This window comes from Homo sapiens, chromosome 16 (assembly GCF_000001405.40).
Source record: "Homo sapiens chromosome 16, GRCh38.p14 Primary Assembly".
NCBI classification, from domain to species: domain Eukaryota; kingdom Metazoa; phylum Chordata; class Mammalia; order Primates; family Hominidae; genus Homo; species Homo sapiens.
This window is the reverse complement of record NC_000016.10, coordinates 83119402-83140621: the sequence shown is the minus strand read 5'-3', so window position 1 is coordinate 83140621 and position 21220 is coordinate 83119402. Positions and strand designations below refer to the sequence as shown.

At 42.7% G+C, this 21220-nt stretch overlaps 1 protein-coding gene across 9 annotated transcripts in view; it reads right to left on the bottom strand.

The window, feature by feature from the left end:
• Positions 1 to 21220, bottom strand: part of CDH13 (cadherin 13) — a 1173672-nt gene that overhangs the window by 660019 nt on the left and 492433 nt on the right. For 8 of the 9 annotated variants that reach the window (NM_001220488.2, NM_001257.5, NM_001220490.2 and 5 more), the window contains one exon: positions 15121 to 15237. The exons of the other annotated variant lie outside the window; for it this stretch is intronic. In NM_001220488.2, the coding sequence (NP_001207417.1) occupies positions 15121 to 15237 (117 nt within the window). The remainder of the gene's footprint in view (positions 1 to 15120; positions 15238 to 21220) is intronic. 9 annotated transcript variants of the gene reach the window in all.

The following is a 21220-nucleotide window of genomic DNA, read 5'->3' as shown; positions in this document are numbered from 1 at the left end:
TTAGCCAGGGCATGGTGGCAGGCGCCTGTAATCCCAGCTACCCTGGGGGCTGAGGCAGGAAAATCACTTGAACCTGAGACAGCGAGGTTGTAGTGAGCCAAGATCACACCACTGCACTCCAGCCTGGGCAAGAAGAGCACGACTCCATCTCAAAAAAAAGAAAAAAGATACATCAGATGAGAAAGTGAACAGACCTATCTGTGGGTCCCTGCAGAGGCAGTAGATCCCACATTAGAAGCCCTGAAACTCAGTGTTGGCCATAGCAATGGTCTGCCATACCACGTGTTGATGAAGGACATGAAGAAGGTTTCTGAGACATTGGCAAGTGGAAAATGCATGAGCACAAGATGGTCATGTGTAGGAATAGGTATGATTAGAAGTGGAGCTCCTCAAAGTGTGGGCCGGCCATGGAGCTGGGCTTGTCAGCAGTGCCAGGAGGCTTGTTGGAATGTTAACTGTTAGGTGTCACCCCAGACCTATGGGATCTAAACCTCTGGTGGTACAGCCTGATGCTGTGTCTTTATGAATGTATACGCACTTTAAAAATAGAGAGGTAAAACCCTCGGATGTCTACAGCGGTTATCCCCAATGGTGGGACTCAGGGATATTTATTTATTTATAGATGGAGTTTTGCTCTTGTTGCCCAGGCTGGAGTGTAATGGTATGATCTTGGCTCACCACAACTTCTGCCTCCTGGGTTCAAGCAATTCTCCTGCCTCAGCCTCCAGAGTAGCTGGGCTTACAGGCATGCACCACCATGCCTAACTAATTTTGTATTTTTAGTAGAGATGGGGTTTCTCCATGTTGGTCAGGGTGGTCTCAAACTCCCGACCTCAGGTGATCCACCCGGTCGGCCTCCCAAAGTGCTGGGATTACAGGCATGAACCACTGCGCCTGGCCGGATATTTTTATATTATTATTTTTCAATGTGTATTTTTCTCTAAAATTTCTACAATAAACACATATTACTCTTATAATAAGAAAAAAAAGTGATTTGCAAAAGGAAAAAACAGATGTATTTCATGGCATGTTAGGAATGATTTCCAGATGCAAATAACAAAATAAAAGCACCACTTGTGATGAATTTCAAGTTGTCAAATAAATGAACTAAAAATTGAGCAACACAGAGCCTGTGAATTGTGTAAACTAATGCATAGCCAACATCAGCATTCAAAGAAGAGATCACTAAGAAGAAATGTATTTAAAATAAATTTGAGGCTAGAAGGCCAACAGTGAACACAGCTGTTACACATTTCTTAGCTAGTAGAAAAAAATAAAATAAAAGTTTTCAAATTCACAGCAAGGAAGGACTAAAGTAAAATCCCTAGGCATGGATGAGTCAGGGACACTGGGAAGAGACGTGTGACACGCTGGTGTTCCCTCAAGCCTGTCACTGGTGCAAAATGAATCCGTCTTTCCAAGAACAACCCTCCACATAACCTGTTCGCCCACCTCCATGCAACATACAGCACGCAGGTGGATCTGTCACCTCTGGGAAGAGTTCTCTTTTATTTCAAAGAGGAGCAGTACAGCAGCCTCAGCACAGAGCAAACTACGGGGAGGTGGATAAAACAGTTCCTTCAGTTTCACAGTCTACATTCCCACAAAGTAACACCTCCGCAGGTTACTTTGTTCAGCGTCCTATAGAGGCATAATGTCCCAGCTAAGAGGGGACCTTCCTCTACCTCCTCACTCATCACTGTCCACTTGCTTGCCAGTGTTGCCTGGTATCCCCCACCATGGCCCTTCACTGTGCCCTCTTTCCAGTCCTTCTGCCTCTCCCCTGCCCGGGAGCCCTTCGTCACCCTCCTGGATTTCTGTCACAGCCTCCCTCTTTGTCACCCCTGCTCCTGGTTTTCTCAGCCTTCAGGTGTTACCCAGCGTAACAGGACTAAACTTCCTGAAATGCAAATCTGATCGTGTGATTCCCCAATGTATAACACTTAGTCATCCGTAGAAAAAGGTCCAAATTCCATACAGTAGTTTTTACAATTTTTCCTCTTCCAGCCTTTGATGATTTCTCCAAGTTTATTTGTGACAATTTCCTCCTTGCATCACAGCCACTTTGAATTATTCTCACCTCTCTGGACAGACCACCGTCCCTCTCGCCCGTAGATACTGGATCATGTTCTTCCCACTGCCTGGAGAGCGCTTTCTTCCCATCTCAGCTTCGCGTTGCCTGCTCTTAGGCGTCCTTCAGGAGTCCTCTTCGGAATTACTTCTTCTGCCTTCTCGATTTTTCCAAGATCCCACAGCACCCCATCACAGCGCTTGTCTGCCTGTTTACAGGTCTGCCCCCTCTCCTAGGACGGGCATTCTTCTCGGGGGAATCCATAAGCAGTAGCCAGTGCAGTGCTTGACACATAGTAGTTGCTCAGTAAATATTTCTGAATTAATGCAGCTCAATTTTCAGCCTAGGGAGAGTGTATGCCTGCTCAAGAGGCATCAACTGACTCTCTTTCTTCATCACTTGTCCCAAACCACCCGATGCAACAGAAGACAGCAACATCTTTAATGCAACACTCACAGATGGGAACAATTAAACCCACATTCAAGCGTTCTTCTGTCTCCTCCATTACTGGTTGCAGAAGTGGGCCAAGCGCAGATACCCAGGAGGGACTGTTCCCAGCCACCCAGACTCACATCACGTCTTTCCCCCAGGACCCTATTTGGGAACCAGAGCTAGCTCCAAGCCGGAAAAGAAAATAAAAGAAGTTCTTCATTCATTCCTCCCCTCTTAAAAAAAAAACCTAAAAAACAAAAAACACTTTATTGGTCTCTTTCCCATCTCCATCCAGTTCTACTTCAATCCTCTTCAAAACTTGGACTAGTAATTGGACCAGTAATTGGACCGTGAAAAGGCCAGTCCATCCCCACTGCGCCCTGGGCCCCACTCCTTCACGGCCCTTATCGACTGAGTCAGCTGCGGCCTCATCACTGAGAAAAACGGGCAGTGATATCTCTTAATTACACCGAAGTTGGCTTTTTCTGCTTTCACTTTCATTCCTTGTGGCTCTCTTTGAACAGGGTTGTCAGCGGAGACACCAACAAAAAAAAGCGTTGTCTGAAGCGAGGCAGTGGCTTTTCTTGCCAGACAAAGAAAGCCGTTTTTTGCTTGTCAACATGTGGTCTATTTGTTAAACGAAGACACGACCTCCGGCCCTGACTCAGCGCACAAACACGCACATCAAATAAATGTTGGCGAGGTTAACCTCATTTCTCCTCACTTCACAGAGAATTTTATCACTCCCTTCCTCATTTTCCAGGTAGAACTGGGACAATTGCTGCAGAATTTTCCAGCCTTAGGAGAGTGACTTGGATTTTTCTGTGCCAAGGAGAAGAGTGGTGGAGCTTTGCTTTTATGTTGCACTTGCTGCATGAAGTTGGACAAGTTACTTAACACCTGCAACAGGCAGAGTTGTCAAAAAATGATCCTCACTGCTAAACTGGGCATGAGACCAGCTGCAACCCGGGGTGAACAGGTGGGTGTGGAAGCCACTTCTCCACAATGGAGGGCTTCACTCAAGCGTAGCTCCCCTGGGACCCATGTGCCCCCTGACCCCTTCCAGTGTCACGGTCCCTGAGTCCCAAGGCCAGTGCCGTGCTGAAGTCAACCCTACTCCTTCATGGAAGTCCATTGTTAAACATTCAGAGATTTTGTAAGCTGCTAGCTTGAAACTGGCCGCTGTGGGAGAATTTATGCCAAAGTAGCTGCAAACACTCCAACTCAAGGCTTCCAGCCTCCGAGAGCCAGTTTTCCAGCACATCCCTACCCAAAGCATCTGACTTTGAACTTTGGAATCTCAGACCACTCCTACGAATCTGGGAACCTGCATTCAGGCTGCGGAACATCCCTGGTGTTTGATCATCTACCCACTAACAAGATTGTACTGAAGCTGTCTGCATTCAGGCTGCGGAACATCCCTGGTGTTTGATCGTCTGTCCACTAACAAGATTGTACTGAAGCTGTCCGGCAGAGAAGGAACAGCTATGAGAGCCCAGTTTCTCCCCTGGCAGACCTCCCTGTGGAATGAGGGGGATGGTGAGCTATGCTTCTCATCCTTGGCTCACCCCTGGCTTGTATGTTTCTCCTTCCTCTAGTGAAGTCTATTTCTTTTTTTTTTTTTTTTTTTTTGGAGACAGAGTCCCGCTCTGTCGCCCAGGCTGGAGTGCAGTGGAGCGATCTCGGCTCACTACAAACTCTGCCTCCTGGGTTCACGCCATTCTCCTGCCTCAGCCTCCCGAGTAGCTGGGACTACAGGCGCACACCACTACGCCCGGCTAATTTTTGTTGTATTTTTTAGTAGAGACAGGGTTTCACCATGTTAGCCAGGATGGTCTCGATCTCCTGACCTCATGATCCGCCTGCCTCGGCCTCCCAAAGTGCTGGGATTACAGGCATGAGCCACCGTGCCCAGACAAAGTCTATTTCTTTTTTTTTTTTTTTAATTTCTATAGGTTGTTGGGGTACAGGTGGTGTTTGGTTACATGAATAAGTTCTTTAGTGGTGATATGTGAGATTTTGGTGCACCCATCACCCGATCAGAATACACGGCATCCTGTTTACAGTCTTTTATCCCTCTCCCCTCTCCCATCCTTTCCTCCCAGTCCCCAAAGTCCGTTGTATCATGCCTATGCTTTTGCGTCCTCATAGCTTAGCTCCCACATGTCAGTGGGGACATATGATGTTTGGTTTTCCATTCCTGAGTTACTTCACTTAGAATAATAGTCTCCAATCTCATCCAGGTTGCTGCAAATGCCATTAATTCATTCCTTTGGATGGCTGAGTAGTATTCCATCATATATACATATGTCACAGTTTCTTTATCCACTTGTGGATTGATGGGCATTTGGTTACATGATTTTGCAATTGTGAGTTGTGCTGCTATAAACGTGTGTGTGCAAGTATCTTTTTCATATAATGACTTCTTTTCCTCTGGGTAGATACCCAGTAGTGGGATTGCTGGATCAAATGGTAGTTCTAGTTTTAGTTCTTTCAGGAATCTCCACACTGTTTTCCATAGTGGCTTAACTCATGCCATGTGCTATTTTAAAATCCATCCAGAGCCCTGGTACAATTGCAGGTGACACAGAAAGGCAACTCAGTTTGTACCACAAATAGACTGTTTTGCAAGATGCTTCTGCACCTTGGTCATGCTCAGTTCAGAGCCTCCACTGTACAATGGGGACATAATATTGATTTCTGAGGGTACTTATGAGAGTCAAATGACCATTTGTGTGAGTGTGCTATGCAAACAGCAAAGACCCATGGAAGCTTTAAGCATTCACACACGTTGTGGTGGACAGATCACTGATGTGGCATTGAAGAGTCTTGGTTTTGGGTCTCAGCATTGCCGTTCTTTAAGAGGGTTACCCTGGGCAAGTTACTTAATCTCTCTTAATTTCCACTTTCTCATCTGAGAAATGAGTGTAGGATTGCCTACTTTATAGGGCTGTTGTAAAAACTAAGCAGGACAGTAGGGTTAGCCATGTTTGGCTTAGATCCAGACATTCATTAGGTAGTGAACATTCTAGTCCAATTTGAAAATTCTTCAACAACCCTGAGTCTGGATGCTAATTCAAGCTGAAATGCCTGGTCCTTGAATGTTCACAAATAATTAAATATAAATTCAGTCTGAGGCCAGATGTTCATAATAACAATAAAGTTCTAGGAACCTTTAAAATGGAGAACCGAAAGGGTGATAAACTCAGGGTTAAAAATATTGCTTCCTCCTTGGGCTCAGATGCCTTTATTTGCGGGATGTAGATCATGGAGGGAAGTTTTGCATATATATGTATTTGGCAAAAAGCCAAAACCACCCGATTATGTTTTGTCATTAATTAAAATTTGCAGGAGGGCAACACTTGCGAATGGTGAACATAGCTTTTATTAGACTTAGCAAAAATAAGTTAGAATTGACTGTGTTCAGTTGTGAAAAAAGATAAAAGTTATGAGTGTTTTCATTTAATTGGAATTAAAACACCATCATATACATAGGCAAATTCAGAAATACAGTCATGTAACTCACTCTCTCTCTCTCTCTCTCTCTCTCTCTCTCTCTCTCTCTCTCTCTCTCCCCCCACCCCATCCCCACATAAAATCCATCAACATCAAATCTATCAAGATCTACTGGCTGGGCACAGCATCTCATGCCTGTAATCCCAGCACTTTGGGAGGCCGAGGCAGGTGGATCACCTGAGGTCAGGAGTTCCAGAGCAGCCTGGCTAACATGGTGAAAGCTCATCTCTCCTAAAAATACAAAAATTAACTGGGCATGGTGGCGGGCGCCTGTAATCCCAGTTACTTGGGAAGCTGAGGCAGAACTGCTTGAACCTGGGAGGCAGAGGTTGCAGTGAGCCAAGATTGTGCCACTGCACTCCAGCCCGGGCGACAGAGCGAGACTCTGTCTCAAAGAAAAAAAACAAATCTACTAAGAATGCTTATATGACCTGACATAATAGTTGACTGCCAAGCAATTTATCTGGTGGCCTCATTACCAATTTAGAAAATTAAAATTTGCTGGAAATATCCAGACTGATCATATAATGGTCTATTAATTCCATTCTAACAACAAAGCAGGCTATGATCACTTTAATTAATCAGTAAGCAGTGAATGTCTATGTTAATCAGCCATACATATGGCTAGAATTCAATTCAGAGAATATTTGAGTCGCTACTCTGTGTTAGGCCCTGTCCTGGGCCACCGCATCTGATGAATTACAGTTAGTGGGAAGGCAGGGAAGGACATTGTCTCTCAAAATGTGTTAAGTGCCATCAAAGATGTATAAACAATGTATAAAAGAGATCAAGTAAAATTCCATGGGCCGGGCTCAGTGGGTCACACCTGTAATCCCAGCACTTTGGGCAGCCGAGGCAGGTGGATCACTTGAGGCCAGGAGTTTGAGACCAGCCTGACCAATATGGTGAACCCCCATCTCTACCAAAAATACAAAAGTTGGCCAGGCATGGTGGTGCATACCTGTAATCTCAGCTATTAGGGAGGCTGAGGCATGAGAATCTCTTGAACCCCGGAGGCAGAGGTTGCAGTGAGCACAGATCACGCCACTGCATTCCAGTGTGGGTGACAGAGCAAGACTCTGTCTCAAAAACATAATTCCACTGAGGAGAGACTGTATCAAAAATAGGCCTTATTTACATTAGCACCATCTGATAAAAATACGTGAGCCATATTAATAATTTAATACTTTTCTGGCAGCCACGTTAAAAAAAAAGTGAAAAGAAATACAAGGGATTTGTTTCCAAATGAAATCAATACAAAGATTATTAAGGAGACATTTTCCATTCTTTTTGTGTTCGTGTGATAAGCTTTTGAAATCCAATGTGTATTTTACGCTTACAAAACATCTCAGTGTGGACATTGCGTTTTCAGTAAAAAATATTTTATCTGTAAATAGATTAAAATGTATCAGGAAAAAGGTACATTCAACTGCCAAGTTGTCCCAATAATGGAATGAAGTGTTACTTTTTGAGCCCCAATTAAAATTAGTAAAGACTTTATAACTGCATTGACCACATGTGGTTAGTGGGTACCATATTGGGCTGTGTAGAGGCAGAACTTCCTGCAATAATGTCAATGTTCCATGGGACAGTGCAGCCTTAGAGTGTGAATGTGGGCTGCTCCTAAGGAATAAGGATACAGAGGGTGTATCCCAGGAAGAACTGACAGTTCAAAGACTTGGAAATAGGAAAGGCTTATGTGTAGCTATGGCTGCTGAATGTAGAAATAAACTGTGATGTTCATCTCAAGAAGAATTTTTGAGCACTGAGCCTTTAGGCATCTTAGATACTCTGTATTCCAATTTTTCTCCTATACTCTAGCCTATGGTAAGTTTCAGTTATTGAATAAAACTGCTAGTTGCCTTAAAAGGGGGAAATTAAGGCCAGGTGCTCATGCTTGTAATCCCCACCCTTTGGGAGGCCGAGGCAGATGGATCCAGATGAGTCTGGCCAACATGGTGAAACCCTGTCTCTACTAAAAAAATACAAAAATTAGCTGGGCGTGGTGGCATCCACCTGTAGTCCCAGTTAGGGAGGCTGAGCAGGAGAATTGCTTGAAGCTGGGAGGCGGACGTTGCAGTGAGCAGAGATTGCACCAATGCACTCCAGCCTGGTGACAGAGAAAGACTCTGTCTCAAAAAAAAAAAAAGGGGGGGGTGTTGGGGGGTGGGTGGGGGGTAGAAATTAAGCAGATGTAAATTTCTGAGAAAAGTGTATATAGTTAGACATAGATAAAGGGCACAAAACAATAGATTTTAAAAGAGGTAGAGGGATGACAGCAATTACTGGGTTACCCTAGACAACCCAGTAAGTGCCTGATCATAAAATCAATCAGGCAACAGCAAGTAACCCTGAGTCTGCATTTCAGGAGAGGGGTGATGGAGAGGTGCTGGGGCTTCAGTACCAGCTTTCTGGTTCAGCCTCTAAGGATATAGCTTGGTCTTCGTGGGTCTTCAAAGTGAGGCAAATGGCTATTAAATAGAATAAAACAAATTAAATTCCAAGACTATCAGACTCCTTGGCACCTATTCGCATAGGTGGGCATAAATCTCAGGTACAGAGTATCTGGATGCAGTGAGACCTCTAAGAATCAGATGCACAGAACACTGAGGAACATGGCAAAGCTGATGTAAATTACCGTCATGTCTGACTTACGTTCATGACACAATCAAAGCGGAGTCCTGGTTGAGTGGTTTTCATGATTTAGTCTAATGATCAATGTTGATTCCCTTTACAAACAGCACTTGGCCCAGTTACATATTTCTTCTATCCTGGGTTAAAGATGGCCTTCTAAATGCCCATTCTACCAATTTATAGGGTCTTTAAAACAGGATTTTCTGTAAAAAAGTACTTTCATTGGTTTTGATGAAAAGGGTTTGTGATGAAAGCAGAATCTCTAATAAGCATTTCATAAATGACTTGTCTTTCAAACTTAATATAAAACAGAATAAAATACATCTCCCAAAGACCTCCCTGCTGGCTTACAGATTTAAAGTCCCCTGCTCTCAATCAATCGGGCCCAAGAACTCAAAAATCTTTAAAGATGCAATCAATTAGTTATCAGTGAAAGTTGGTAAAACTGAGAAATTATTTATGGCCCAAATTTTGAAATAGTCATACTTTGAAGGGGGAGGGGAAAAAGCCACTTTGGGATCTGCATGTTCCTCTCCAGAGCACTCACTGTCAGCTCCTCCCTGCTGTCTAGAGTTCAAAAATGGAAAGAAAATCACAGGTATGAGCAAGTATGTTCACGACTGGGTGTTTTACCTTGTCTTCCAAAACTATGACAGATAGTCTAGGGCAGAATGCACCATGGAAAAGAGCCAGAAATTAGGAGGCAAACTCATTTTCCCAGGGCTGGCAGTGATCTCTCGGGTTGTCTCCTGTGTGTGTCTGTGGGCGGGGGGGGGGGGGGGGGGGTCATACACCCCCTTATACTCCCCACCTGCTATCTAAGTGAGTAGCAGTGATTTGGAATCTCAGGGTTGTAATATGATTCCCTCGTATTACGGAAAAGCAGATCCCAAATTCTAGTAGTTTAGCTACTTACCAACCAACTAATTACTTGGCAGACAGATAAATTATGTATCAGTCAAGACACTTTCTCTCATCCCTGGAGCTGCCTGAATAACCCTGCTGTGGGTATTCAGTTCTACACAGCAGGATATCCAGTTGTGAAAAACCCTCCACCAAGGGCTAACTTGCCACAGCACCTTGCTTTTGATGTCTTCATTCTTCAGGATATGAGTCTCCTTTCTTTACAGGAATTCAGGTTGTAATAAAATATGACCAAAAAAATCAAGAACCAGTTACGTACTTTGTCTCCATTCACCCTCTTGAAATGCAAGACAAATGATTTAAAAGGCGTTTTTGTGCCAGCATGCTAACTCCTGTGTCTTTTATGATAATTTTATATTTAGTTAAACTTAATTTTTCCCAACATTTTATTACAAAACTTCCAAATGCAGAGAAAACTCGAAAGAATTGTACAGCAAGTACCCATATGTTCACCAACTTATATTCTACCACTAACATTTTAATATACTTCCTTTATCACATATCAGATATCGATCTATTGATCCAACCCTCTGTCCACCTTATTTTTGAGTGCATTGCCAAGAATTGCACTCAATTTTAATGCTGTTTTAAAAAGAGAAATTGTCAGTGAAGATATTTCATTCCACGGAAGAGTATTCTCAGATTGGGCTTAGTATTTCCTGAGGATACTGGTTAAGAGCACAGACTTTGAAATCTCAAAAAGCAGTAACAAAGCTTGGCTCTGTTATGAACTAGCTGTGTGGCTTTGGACAGGTTACGTCACCCCTGAGTCTCATTACCTTCATTGGCATGCTGGAAAATGATCCTCATGTGGTTGTTATCATAAGAATTCAACATAATAGATGAAAAGTGCTTAGCACAGTGCTGGACAAATAATGACTATGTGCTGATATTGTCACCTCTTTTGTAATCCCGCAAGATCAATGATTCTGTCTGTTTTCTCCTCCATTAAATTCCCAGCCCCTAGCACAGTTCCTTATAAAAACAGATGCTGAATATATGCTTGTTGATATGAATTAGGTTGAATTTCAGAGGTTTTCCCTCCTGGGATGCAGGAACTACTTATTAATGGAGAGAGAGAGGCAAGTACAGGGGGTTTCAAAAGCCCAGGACATGAGAATGCTAGTTCAGGAAATGAGGTAAAAGCAGAGGATGAAATGAAGTATGCAAAAAATAATATAGATATATTAGTTTTGGTGATGAAGCAGAAGGGATCAGTGCCCTGTCCACATCCTCTATGTGTCAGCTTTTCAGTGCAGACCAGCAGACTGGTGGCTGCTGTACAGAATCCTTTTTGTCTAAGGTTCTCCTCCAAACCTCAGCAGGCTGTCGCGTCAGTGCACAGAGTGCAGGGCAGACCAGATATGCCAGGGAATTTACACCCCTGGAAGCGGCCCTCCACCAGTGACTGCTGGGAGTAGAAATACCCCAGCTGGTGTCAAAGTATCCCAGTGCCATCCCCTGGGGGTGGTGTAACGCTGACAGTGTGTTCCACACCATGTTAAAGTTAGCCCCTGACATTACAATCCAGTCACCCACAGGGGTAGCTGGCTTCATAAACAAGCTTCTCTCCTAGCTGCCTTCCCTTCTCCACGTCTCTCCCTTACTTTATTACAAATATTTCCTCCACCTCTGAAATGAACTGCCTTCATTTGAATTCTTGTCTTGCGGTCCACTTCTAGGGGAAGCCAAAGACAAACGTCTTTATACTTTTAGAGCTGCAGAATCTCTTCTTCAAATGGCATTCTATATCGAAGTCTAATACGTAATATTTATAAAATTAGAGGTGTCCTGACTTAGACATTTTTTGGGAGCGTGGTGGTGTTTGGAGGCCAGAGCTCTGCCTCTGTGGTCTTCCTTCCCTTCTCCCTGCCTCCCCAGCACTCACTGAAAACACCTACGTCCTCTTCCACAGCTCTGCAGAGCACAGCTCGTCAGCTGTGGTGGAGTTGATGAGGATAAGACAGGAGATATAAAGAGTAAGACAGATAAATAGAAACAAGCAGGAACAAAAAGGAAAATACGTACCTTCAAAGGCATAAAAAGCAGGGACAAATAAATAGTTTTTGCAAAGCAGTGCAGTAATTCTACAAAAAACATCTAGAGGTTTTGAAGGCTCTTGCGCATTGTCTAGTTAGTAGCCTACCACACTTAGAAAAGCAGTTGCTTTGTAGAGAATCTAAGTTGAGAACAAGTATGGGCAACACATAAGGGGCTAAGAAGAAGTGAGTCCTCAGCTTGCAAACCAAATTGCTTTTTGAAGCTGTAATAAGTAAAAAAACAATGCAGAAGAATGTTCCCAATTAGCTGCATGCTTATGGACCCATTGAATAGCTCAAGAAAAGAGGCTTGTGAGAAAATTCACCCAAATATACCCCGGAGGAAATTGTGTGTAATTGAAGAAAACTATAGGATGGCTACATAATTTATTGTCTAAATCTGGACATGACAGATTTGGACGACAGGTGTAAACTGGGATTTTCCAGGCAACTGAAATGTGATTGTCCTTATTATAACCTAATTAATGGAATTGCAACTGAAAGTATTGTGTACTAGTGGTGGACAGGAGGAGAAAGTGCATTTCAGGTCAGCCCTCTGTAAATTTGAGTGTGCATCACAATCACCTAGAAGCTGTGTAAAAACGCAGATTCCTGGCTTTAACCCCAGAGTTTTTGGCTCAGTGGTTTTGGGGTGGGACATGAAAATATGCATTTCTAGCAAGCTCCCAGGCGATGCTAATGTAGCTGGTCCACAACCACTCTTGGAGGACTGCTTAAGACCGGCAGTCCTCCACCTCGGCTGCATATCTGAATCACCTCGGATATTTTAACATATATTGATGCATGGTCCTCACCCCCACCCCAGTGGAATCAATCTCTGAGGGTGGAGCCCTGACATCTGCATTTTAAGTGTCTCTGCTGATTCTGATGCATGGTGAGAGCTGAGAAGCCCAGGATTATCTAAAAGAAAACTGAAAAACGAGAATGCATCTTGAGTCTCAGAAACTGTTTGGGAAGAGTTTTGAAGAAGTGGGGAGTCAGGTCCCTTGGCATCTGGCATCTTGGGCTCCCAGGAAACCTGTCTAGAAAAGGATCATCACAGTGGCTAGGGCTGCCCAAGGGGACAGGGCTATCCCTTTAGAGCAGCTCTGCTTCCCTTTGTATCATGTCCCAGACTCTTAAAAAGATTTTTGCTTAGAGAAAGGTATCTTTGGCACAGTGGGAGTTTAAAATGATAAATATAATGATTACCAGGATATTGGATTAGCACTTCTTTCAATTTGCAATAAAGATCGATTTTTTGTTTGTGTGTTTGTTTGACACAGAGTCTCACCCTGTCGCCCATGCTGGAGTACACTGGCATGATCCCGGCTCACTGCAACCTCCACCTCCTGGGTTCAAGTGGTTCTCTTGCCTCAGCTTCCCAAGTAGCTGGGATTACAGGCGTGCCATGACACTGGCTAATTTTTGTATTTTTAGTTGAGACGGGGTTTCGCCACGTTGGCCAGGATGGTCTTGAACTCCTGACCTCGGGTGATCCTCCCGCCTCAGCGTCCCACAGTGCTGGGATTACAGGCGTGAACCACCATGCCCGTCCAAGATCAATTTTCAATAGTCCAAGTCACCTTTGTTCAGATCACCACCAAACTCCCCTCTTAGTGGGTCTCTTTGCTTCCACTCCTCTCTACTGCTCTGCTACCACTAATCATTCTCTACAAGGCAGCCAGGATGATCTTTCAAAACATGCAGTCTTCTGGGGAAATCTTCCAGTGGTCCCCTGCTGCATGCACGATGAAACCCCAACTCCTCATCCAAGGGCAGGCTGGCCTCTCTGATTTCACTTTTACCACTGTCATCCTTGCTTACTCTCATGCAACCCAGGCATGTTGCGACTCTACTACATGCTATTCTTTCCCATCTTCAGGCCTTTGCAATGTAGACTCACCTCTGCCAAAGATGCTGTTCAACCAGATATACCTGTAACTGTTCCTTTCTCACCCTTCCAGTCTCCCCTCAAATATCAGTACCTCCAACCAGCCATCACAGCCATCTGCGTGAAGATTCCCTCCTCCCTCTACTCCTTCATCCTGCCATTTGCTCTTTTTTTCACATCATCCCATTGCTGATTTTCACAGCATTTGTCATACTCTGCAATGTTCTTGTTTCTGTCTTCCCACTAGCATGTTAGCTTTATTATCTGCTTCTTCACACCCAGTCCAAAGCTTGGAGTCCAGCATATCACATGTACTGTGTATTTAATGAATTAGTAGTTCAACAGCAACTGCCATTAAGATCATTCATTTAACCAACCACCATTTTTCGAATTCCAGGCTCACCAATGTCTGATACAGTAAGTTCCTTTTCAAACGTTTAATTTCTGACTCCCTTGTTCTTTGTTCTCGAGATCAACTTCCTTGTCCCTTCTCCTAAGCTACCTGCTCTATAAACAACTTCTCCCATTAGTCCCAATCTGTGACTCACATCTCTTTCTTATTTGGAAAGAGTCCTCTTTAATCCTGGCTACCCATTCTGTAAACTGCCCCTCCAGCCAAAACAGCTCTTCCCAATGAAACTACCCTTCCCGCCTTTGCCGTGCCCTGACATGCCCAAACATGCCTTGTACCATAACAGACAGCCTCTCCCTTCCTGCCTAATTAGCCATATTCAATTTTAAACAGTAGCCAATCAGGTCAGCTTAGATTGTGCAATCCAACTCCAGCCAATGGGGACAGGACACAGAAGCAGGGACTAACCACGTGAGGGATAAAAACCCCTTCCCTCTTTTGTTTGGTGTGCTCTCCCAGTGGCCAGAAGTACAAGCAGCACCCTTCCGCAGAAGTAAATTGCCTTGCTGAGAAAACTCTTTTCCTGAGTGCTGGTTCTCCTTTGCGGCACTGAGCACTTGTTTCTAACAACCAAAAAGTACAAACTGCTCAAAATTTGATTCTCCATGTTGACTCTCTTAAAGAGGGGAGAATGTACTGATGAGGCAGTATCCGTATTTTGGCACATTTAACAGTGACTATTTCTTCCTGGAAAAGCTATTGTTCTGATTCATGGGACAGTGTTTTCCATATCCGATTCTGGATATGATTAGTATGATTTTATTCCCTTGATCTGGTTTAGTTTTTGGAAAACCGACCCAGTGGTACGCGTAGACCTAAATATTTGAAAAACAGGATCTCAGTGAAGGCCACATGTCAACATACTACCATCCTAGGGGGCCCTATCTGGTGATCACCTGAATATAATCTATAAAAGCAATGAGCCTTGTTTCTTAACCATTGACATCTTCCTGCTTAATTTCAACATCATCTACCATGTTGATCCCGTAATATTCAAAGCTGCTATTGGTTTTTTCCAATTTCCTCTTTTGCATATGAATGATCTTCCAACATTCTTTTCATGACTAAACCATTTGGTCTCTTATCATAGACAGATGAAGACTAATTCCAGCTGGTCACCAAGACAGTCATACTCAGTCTGCTGTGCTCATCTTTTCATAAAAACATGTTTTTGTCATTTGCTGTTTGTCTGACTTACCTTGCCAACATCTCTTGGGAAAGGCTGTCTCTGATTCTCTGGAATTAAAATGGGAGATACCACAATGGACCTCTTTTGTCTTGGGACAGGAGAAGTTCTTGCAAATTTAAATATATCCTAAAAGGGAAAACAAAAGGATTGATTAAAATCTCCCATTGAAATGATGTATCAGTCTGCTCCGAGATAGAGTTCCTTTGTTGGGAAAGCATACAGCTGTTTGGAAAGTGTTCACTGTATTCCATCAAACCCTATTAGCATTACCAAGTACATTACTAGAATAATACTAAAGCTGACATTGTTATTCACTATAACTATCATTAAGCTATTTGAACACCCAACTTCCAAATCATTCTATTCACAATGACAGTCTTGATTTACTCATCCCTCATTGCTTGCATATTGCTGTTCTTAATCTGCCAAGCTACTGGATTACTCACCTGGTCAGGAATCTGGAGGACTTGCTTAGATATAAAATTTTATTTGATTTACAGCCAATAAAGAATTGGTTTTATAACAAATCCTAAGTGAAAAGAACTAAGTTAGATGCATCATATTGCCTGACTTCAAATTATACTACAAAGCTATAGTAACCAAAACAGGATGGTACTGGTATAAATCTAGATTAATGGAACAGAACAGAGAATCCAGAACTAAAGCCACATACCTACAACCAACTGATCTTCAAGAAAGTCGGCAAAAATATATGATAGGGAAATGACGCTCTATTCAATAAATGGTGTTGGCCTAAACACCCATATGGAAAATTGGATAATCATATACCTAAGAGTGAAATTGGACCCACAGCTTTCACCATATACAAAAATTAACTCAAGATGGATTAAAGACCTAAACATAAGACCTGCAACTATAAAAATTCTAGAAGAAACCCTAGGAAAAACTCTTCCAGATATTGGCCTCGGCAAAGGATTTATGGCCTAGTCCTCAAAAGCAAACATGACCAAAAAAAAAAAAAAATGGACAATTCAAATTTAATTAAACTTAAAAGCTTCTGCACAGCAAAATAAGCAATCAACAGACTAAGCAGATAACCTAGAGAATGGGAAAAATATTTGTAAAGTATGTATTCAACAAAGGACTATTATCCAGAATTTACAAGGAACTCAAACAACAAAAATGACCCAATTAAAAGTGGGTAGGCCGGGTGCGGTGGCTCACACCTATAATCCCAGCACTTTGGGAGGCCAGGGCAGGCCGATCTCCTGAGGTCAGGAGTTCGAGACCAGCCTGGCCAACATGGTGAAACCAGGTCTCAACTAAAAACACAAAAATTAGCCAGGCATGGTGGCAGGTACCTGTAATCCCAGCTACTAGGGAGGCTGAGGCAGGAGAATTGCTTGAACCCAGGAGGCGGACAGTGCAGTGAGCCAAGATTACACCACTGAACTCCATCCTGGGTGACAGAACGAGACTCCAGCTCAGAACAAACAAACAAACAAAAGAAAGTGGGGCAAACAACATGAACAGACATTCTTCAAAAGGACACGTACGACGGGCCAACAGACATATGAAAAATGCTCAATATCACTAATCATCAGAGAAATGCAAATTGAAACGACAATGCGATATCATCTTATACCAGTCAGAATGGCTATGATTAAAAAGTCTTAAACAACAAATATTGGTGAGGCTGAAGAGAAAAAAGAATGCTTATATACTGTTGGTGGGAGTGTAAATTAGTGCAAACTCTATGAAAAACAGTATGATGATTTCTCAAAGAACTGAAAACAGAACTACCATTCAACCTAGCAATCCCACTACCAGGTATATACACAAAGGAAAAGGAATCGTTATATCAAAACAATACCTGCACTTGTGTGTTTATCATAGCACTATTCACAATAGCAAAGACATGGAATGAACCTAAGTGTCCATCAACAGAAGACAGGATAAAAAAAAATGTGGGGCCAGATGCAGTGGCTCACGCCTGTAATCCCAGCCCTTTGGGAGGCTGAGGAGGGTGGATAACCTGAGGTTGGGAGTTTGAGACCAGCCTGACCAACATGGAGAAACCTCGTCTCTACTAAAAATACAAAATTAGCCGGGCATGGTGGTGCATGCCTGTAATCCCAGCTATTCATGAGGCTGAGGCAGGAGAATCACTTGAACCCAAGAGTCAGAGGTTGCAGTGAGCCGAGATCGCGCCATTGCACTCCAGCCTGGGCAACAAGAGTGAAAATCAGTCTCAAAAAAGAAAAAAAGAAAATGTGGGATATATATATATATATTTGTATCTATACATATATGTAAATATATCTATACGTATATATAAACATATCTATAAAGATGTGTACACACACAAAAACATATATACACACACACATACTCATACACACACACGCACATGCCATAAAATACTACTCAAGCCTAAAAAAAGAATAAAATCATGTCTTTTGCAGCCACATGGATGAAGCCGGAAGACATGATCCAAAGGAAATAACTCAAACAGAAAAATGCCGCATATTTTCACTTTTTGGTGGGAGCTCAACAATGGGTACTTGTGAACATACAGAGTGGAATAAGAGACAGTGGGGACTTCGGAAAGTGGGAGGGTGGGAGGAGGGTGAGAGCTGAAAAATCACCTGTTGGGTACAACGTTCACTCTTTGGGTGATGGGTTCACTAAAAGGCCACACTTCCCACTACACAGTGTGTGCATGTAAGAAGCCTGCACTTGTACCCCTTGAATATCTTTTTAGATACTCTTCCGATACTAGGTAATTTTTATCTAGGGTAATAGATAGGCATTTTCAAAATGGTTATACTTTGTTAAGAGTCTTCAAAAAAAATTTTAAAAATAAAAAATAAAAAGCAACTCTCTTCATGAGCCACTGCAAGGTCCTTACACTCACAAATGAATAGGGATAAAGGGACAATCACAAAGTCCCAAACTATGTCAGGCATTATGGAGACTTGTATTCAGTGTATTGTCAAGGGAAACGTGTTGTTATTATATGATCAGTGGGGCAACTGTTGGAATGCACTCTCCAAGTAGCATGTCACAAGTTCAGTTATTGGAGTGACACTGTCAGGGTGTTTGCTCTATGCGTAACTCATATTTTTAATTAAATGTGTTCAAAATGAAAACTTTGTATCATTTTAAATAAAACATTAGTATCACTTCACATAAAAGAAGGAAAACATAAAAATAAACATGCTGGAGACCTAATGACACCATTAAATTTGAGCTAGAAACTGTTGCCTATGGAAAGCTCTTCATCTTACAGGTAAAAAGGGGCCAGAGCGGTGTTAAAGGCGTGTTAGCACCAAGCTGAGACTTCCTCTTTGATCTGATCAGAGGACTGAAAGATAATTGAAAAAGAATATCATTTCCAATATGCAAACTGATCTTATTTAATGCCACATACTAATTAAAACTGTCTTCTGCATCATCAGAAGCAAGCATCTCAATCCTAACAACAGCTTCCTATCAAAATCATGTGATAAATGATAGTTTCATTCCATCTTTGGCCCCAAGGCCCCATAAAAGTGTGTGTGTGTGTGTGTGTGTGTGTGTGTGTGACAGTTTTAAAGGAAAATTTATGTAATAAAGTTCAAACAGGAAACAAGATAAGCTAAGGCTCTGAAAGCATCTATAAATAGCCATTCTCTTGATTTGGGTGGGAGTATAAATTCATAGCACCCTTGTGAAAAGTAATCAGGCAATATTCATTTATCGAGAGCTTTATGAATGCACATATCCCTTCACTCAGTAATTTTACTGCTAGGAACCCATCCAAACGTTACATTCAAAAGAAGAATAAAACTGTATGAAGGAAGACGTTTAGTGAGACATGATTTATAAGGGGCAAAAATGGAAAACATCCTAAATGTTCCATAGCAGGGACAAAGTTACATTTGGGTTTGTTAGTAGGCAATACTCCTAGGCTATGACCAATAAGGCAACTGTGAAGACCATGTTCCGACCACTATCATCATCACTCCAATGCCCTCACCATCACTACTCTAAACTACTATAATAATGATACAGCAAGCGTATGCTGGCCAATGTGCTGGGCACTTGGCATGAGCCCCCTCAAATATTTCCAACAGACCTCCAAAGTAAATCTTATCCCTCCTTAATCAATGAAGAAAGTTCAGAGAGGTTGCATGCAAACTGCTCCAATTTACCTAGCTAGCAGAGAGAATATTTAAGACAAGCTATGTAGGAAAATATAGAATATCATATTCAATGCATTCTATTTTGTATACACTATAGTGATCACAGAAGAATATTAAAATCTCAATGAAAGAGACTAAGTAAGAGACACTTTAGTCTCTAGGAAGTGAAAAGGACTCAATATGCAGGCAAAGAAAACTAGATTCTGTATAAGACAGAAGAAAAAGCAAGAATAATATAACAAAACGAACAAAAAAGCCAACCACCCAAAACGAACCCAACACTAAACAAAGAAACAGCATTGGCTGGGCGCAGCGGATCACGCCTGTAATCCCAGCACTTTGGGAGGCCGAGGCGGGAGGATCACGAGGTCAGGAGTTCGAGACCAGGCTGACCAACAAGGTGAAACCCCGTCTCTACCAAAAATACAAAAATTAGCTAGGTGTGGTGGCACCTGCCTGTAATCCCAGCTACTCGGGAGGATGAGGCAGGAGAATCACTTGAACCTGGGAGATGGAAGTTGCAGTGAGCTGAGATCGCGCCACTGTACTCCAGCCTGGGTGACACGGTGAGACTCCATCTCAGAAAAAAAAAAAAAAAAGAAAGAAAATTAGAGCGCGTTGTATTTACACAAAACTGATATTTAACATCTATGAAGATTCTGTTGGTTTGTTAAGGGTGGCAAAAATAGGAAATACGTAAAATATATTTGTAATATCTGAATATCATTCATTATTAAAAAAATATCTTGAGCCTCAGATGAGAGCTGGTCTAGAGAAACACTTTAAAAAGACGTAAACTTTGTGCAGATGTAAAGGACTGGTGAATGGGCTTCATCCTAGAGCAAACATAGGCCTCAGTTCATGATGACAATGTATGTCTAAATGTGTCCAAAGTAATGACAAAGCACACCGTGTCATCAATAATGAACCTTGCATAGAGTGTCATGAATTGCTTTCTTGTGTTTTCATACCCACAAATGGGTGATATTTCTGTCCTCACGGGTGTCCAGAGTGGTCAGCTCCCTGAATCCCATCCCCATCCTACCTCTGGTGTCCTCCCAGCTCACCAGCTCATCAACTCCACAGCTGCCCATCCATTTCCTTGATTATTACGGCGCATCCCAGAAGTATGGCAAGTGGCACAATTGTGTTAATCCGTGGATCTAAAGTGCCCAAGAAAAGAAGCAGGAAGCTCTGATTCGGGAAAAACAGTACCTGGAAGGGACAGGGTTCGGGGGCTGCTGGAGGTATTGATTGTAGAGAAGTCACCATGTGCATGTCGACTCTCTGGGCCCGTCACGGTGGGCATCTTAAGGAACGACTGAAGTCAGGACATCCTGCTTCTTCTGATGCTTAAGTTTTTGTCTGACATTAGGAGAAACTTCAGTGAATATTTATCCATGGCTCTGCGTTTCTGGGCCTGTGGCTCTGCTTCTATCTTTGCCTGTGATTTATGTGTATATCTATAAGTATGTGTTTGTGGCCAAGTGTCTACTTCTATATTTGTGGCTGTACCCACCTTTGATCGAGTCTGTGCTAATGAGTTTGTGTGTTCTGCCATATGTTTCTGTATGACTGGGACCGTGTAAGAACCATCATACATGATTTGACTGACATCCATATACCCTGCTTCGGGACAACTCTCTGTGTTTGTGCGTGTGGTGTACTTGCATCTGTCATTTCATGCATGAAGCCTGTGAGGGTGCCAATCCGTGGCCAGAAACTCAGAGAAGGACAACACAAAAATGGTGGTGACAAAAATAATGTAATCAATTCAAGAGACAGTTACAAAAGGCAGAAGAGCAGTGTATGGGAAAGAACTGAAGATCAGCGTAAAGGAGGGAGGTAATAAGATCTCTTGACTTCTGGTGTTGCCATTACCAAGTGGGCAAAGGCTTTTAAAAAGGCATTTTGGGGTACCAGTGCTAGAGTAGACCTGTTGACGTTGAGGAGCCTGCTGG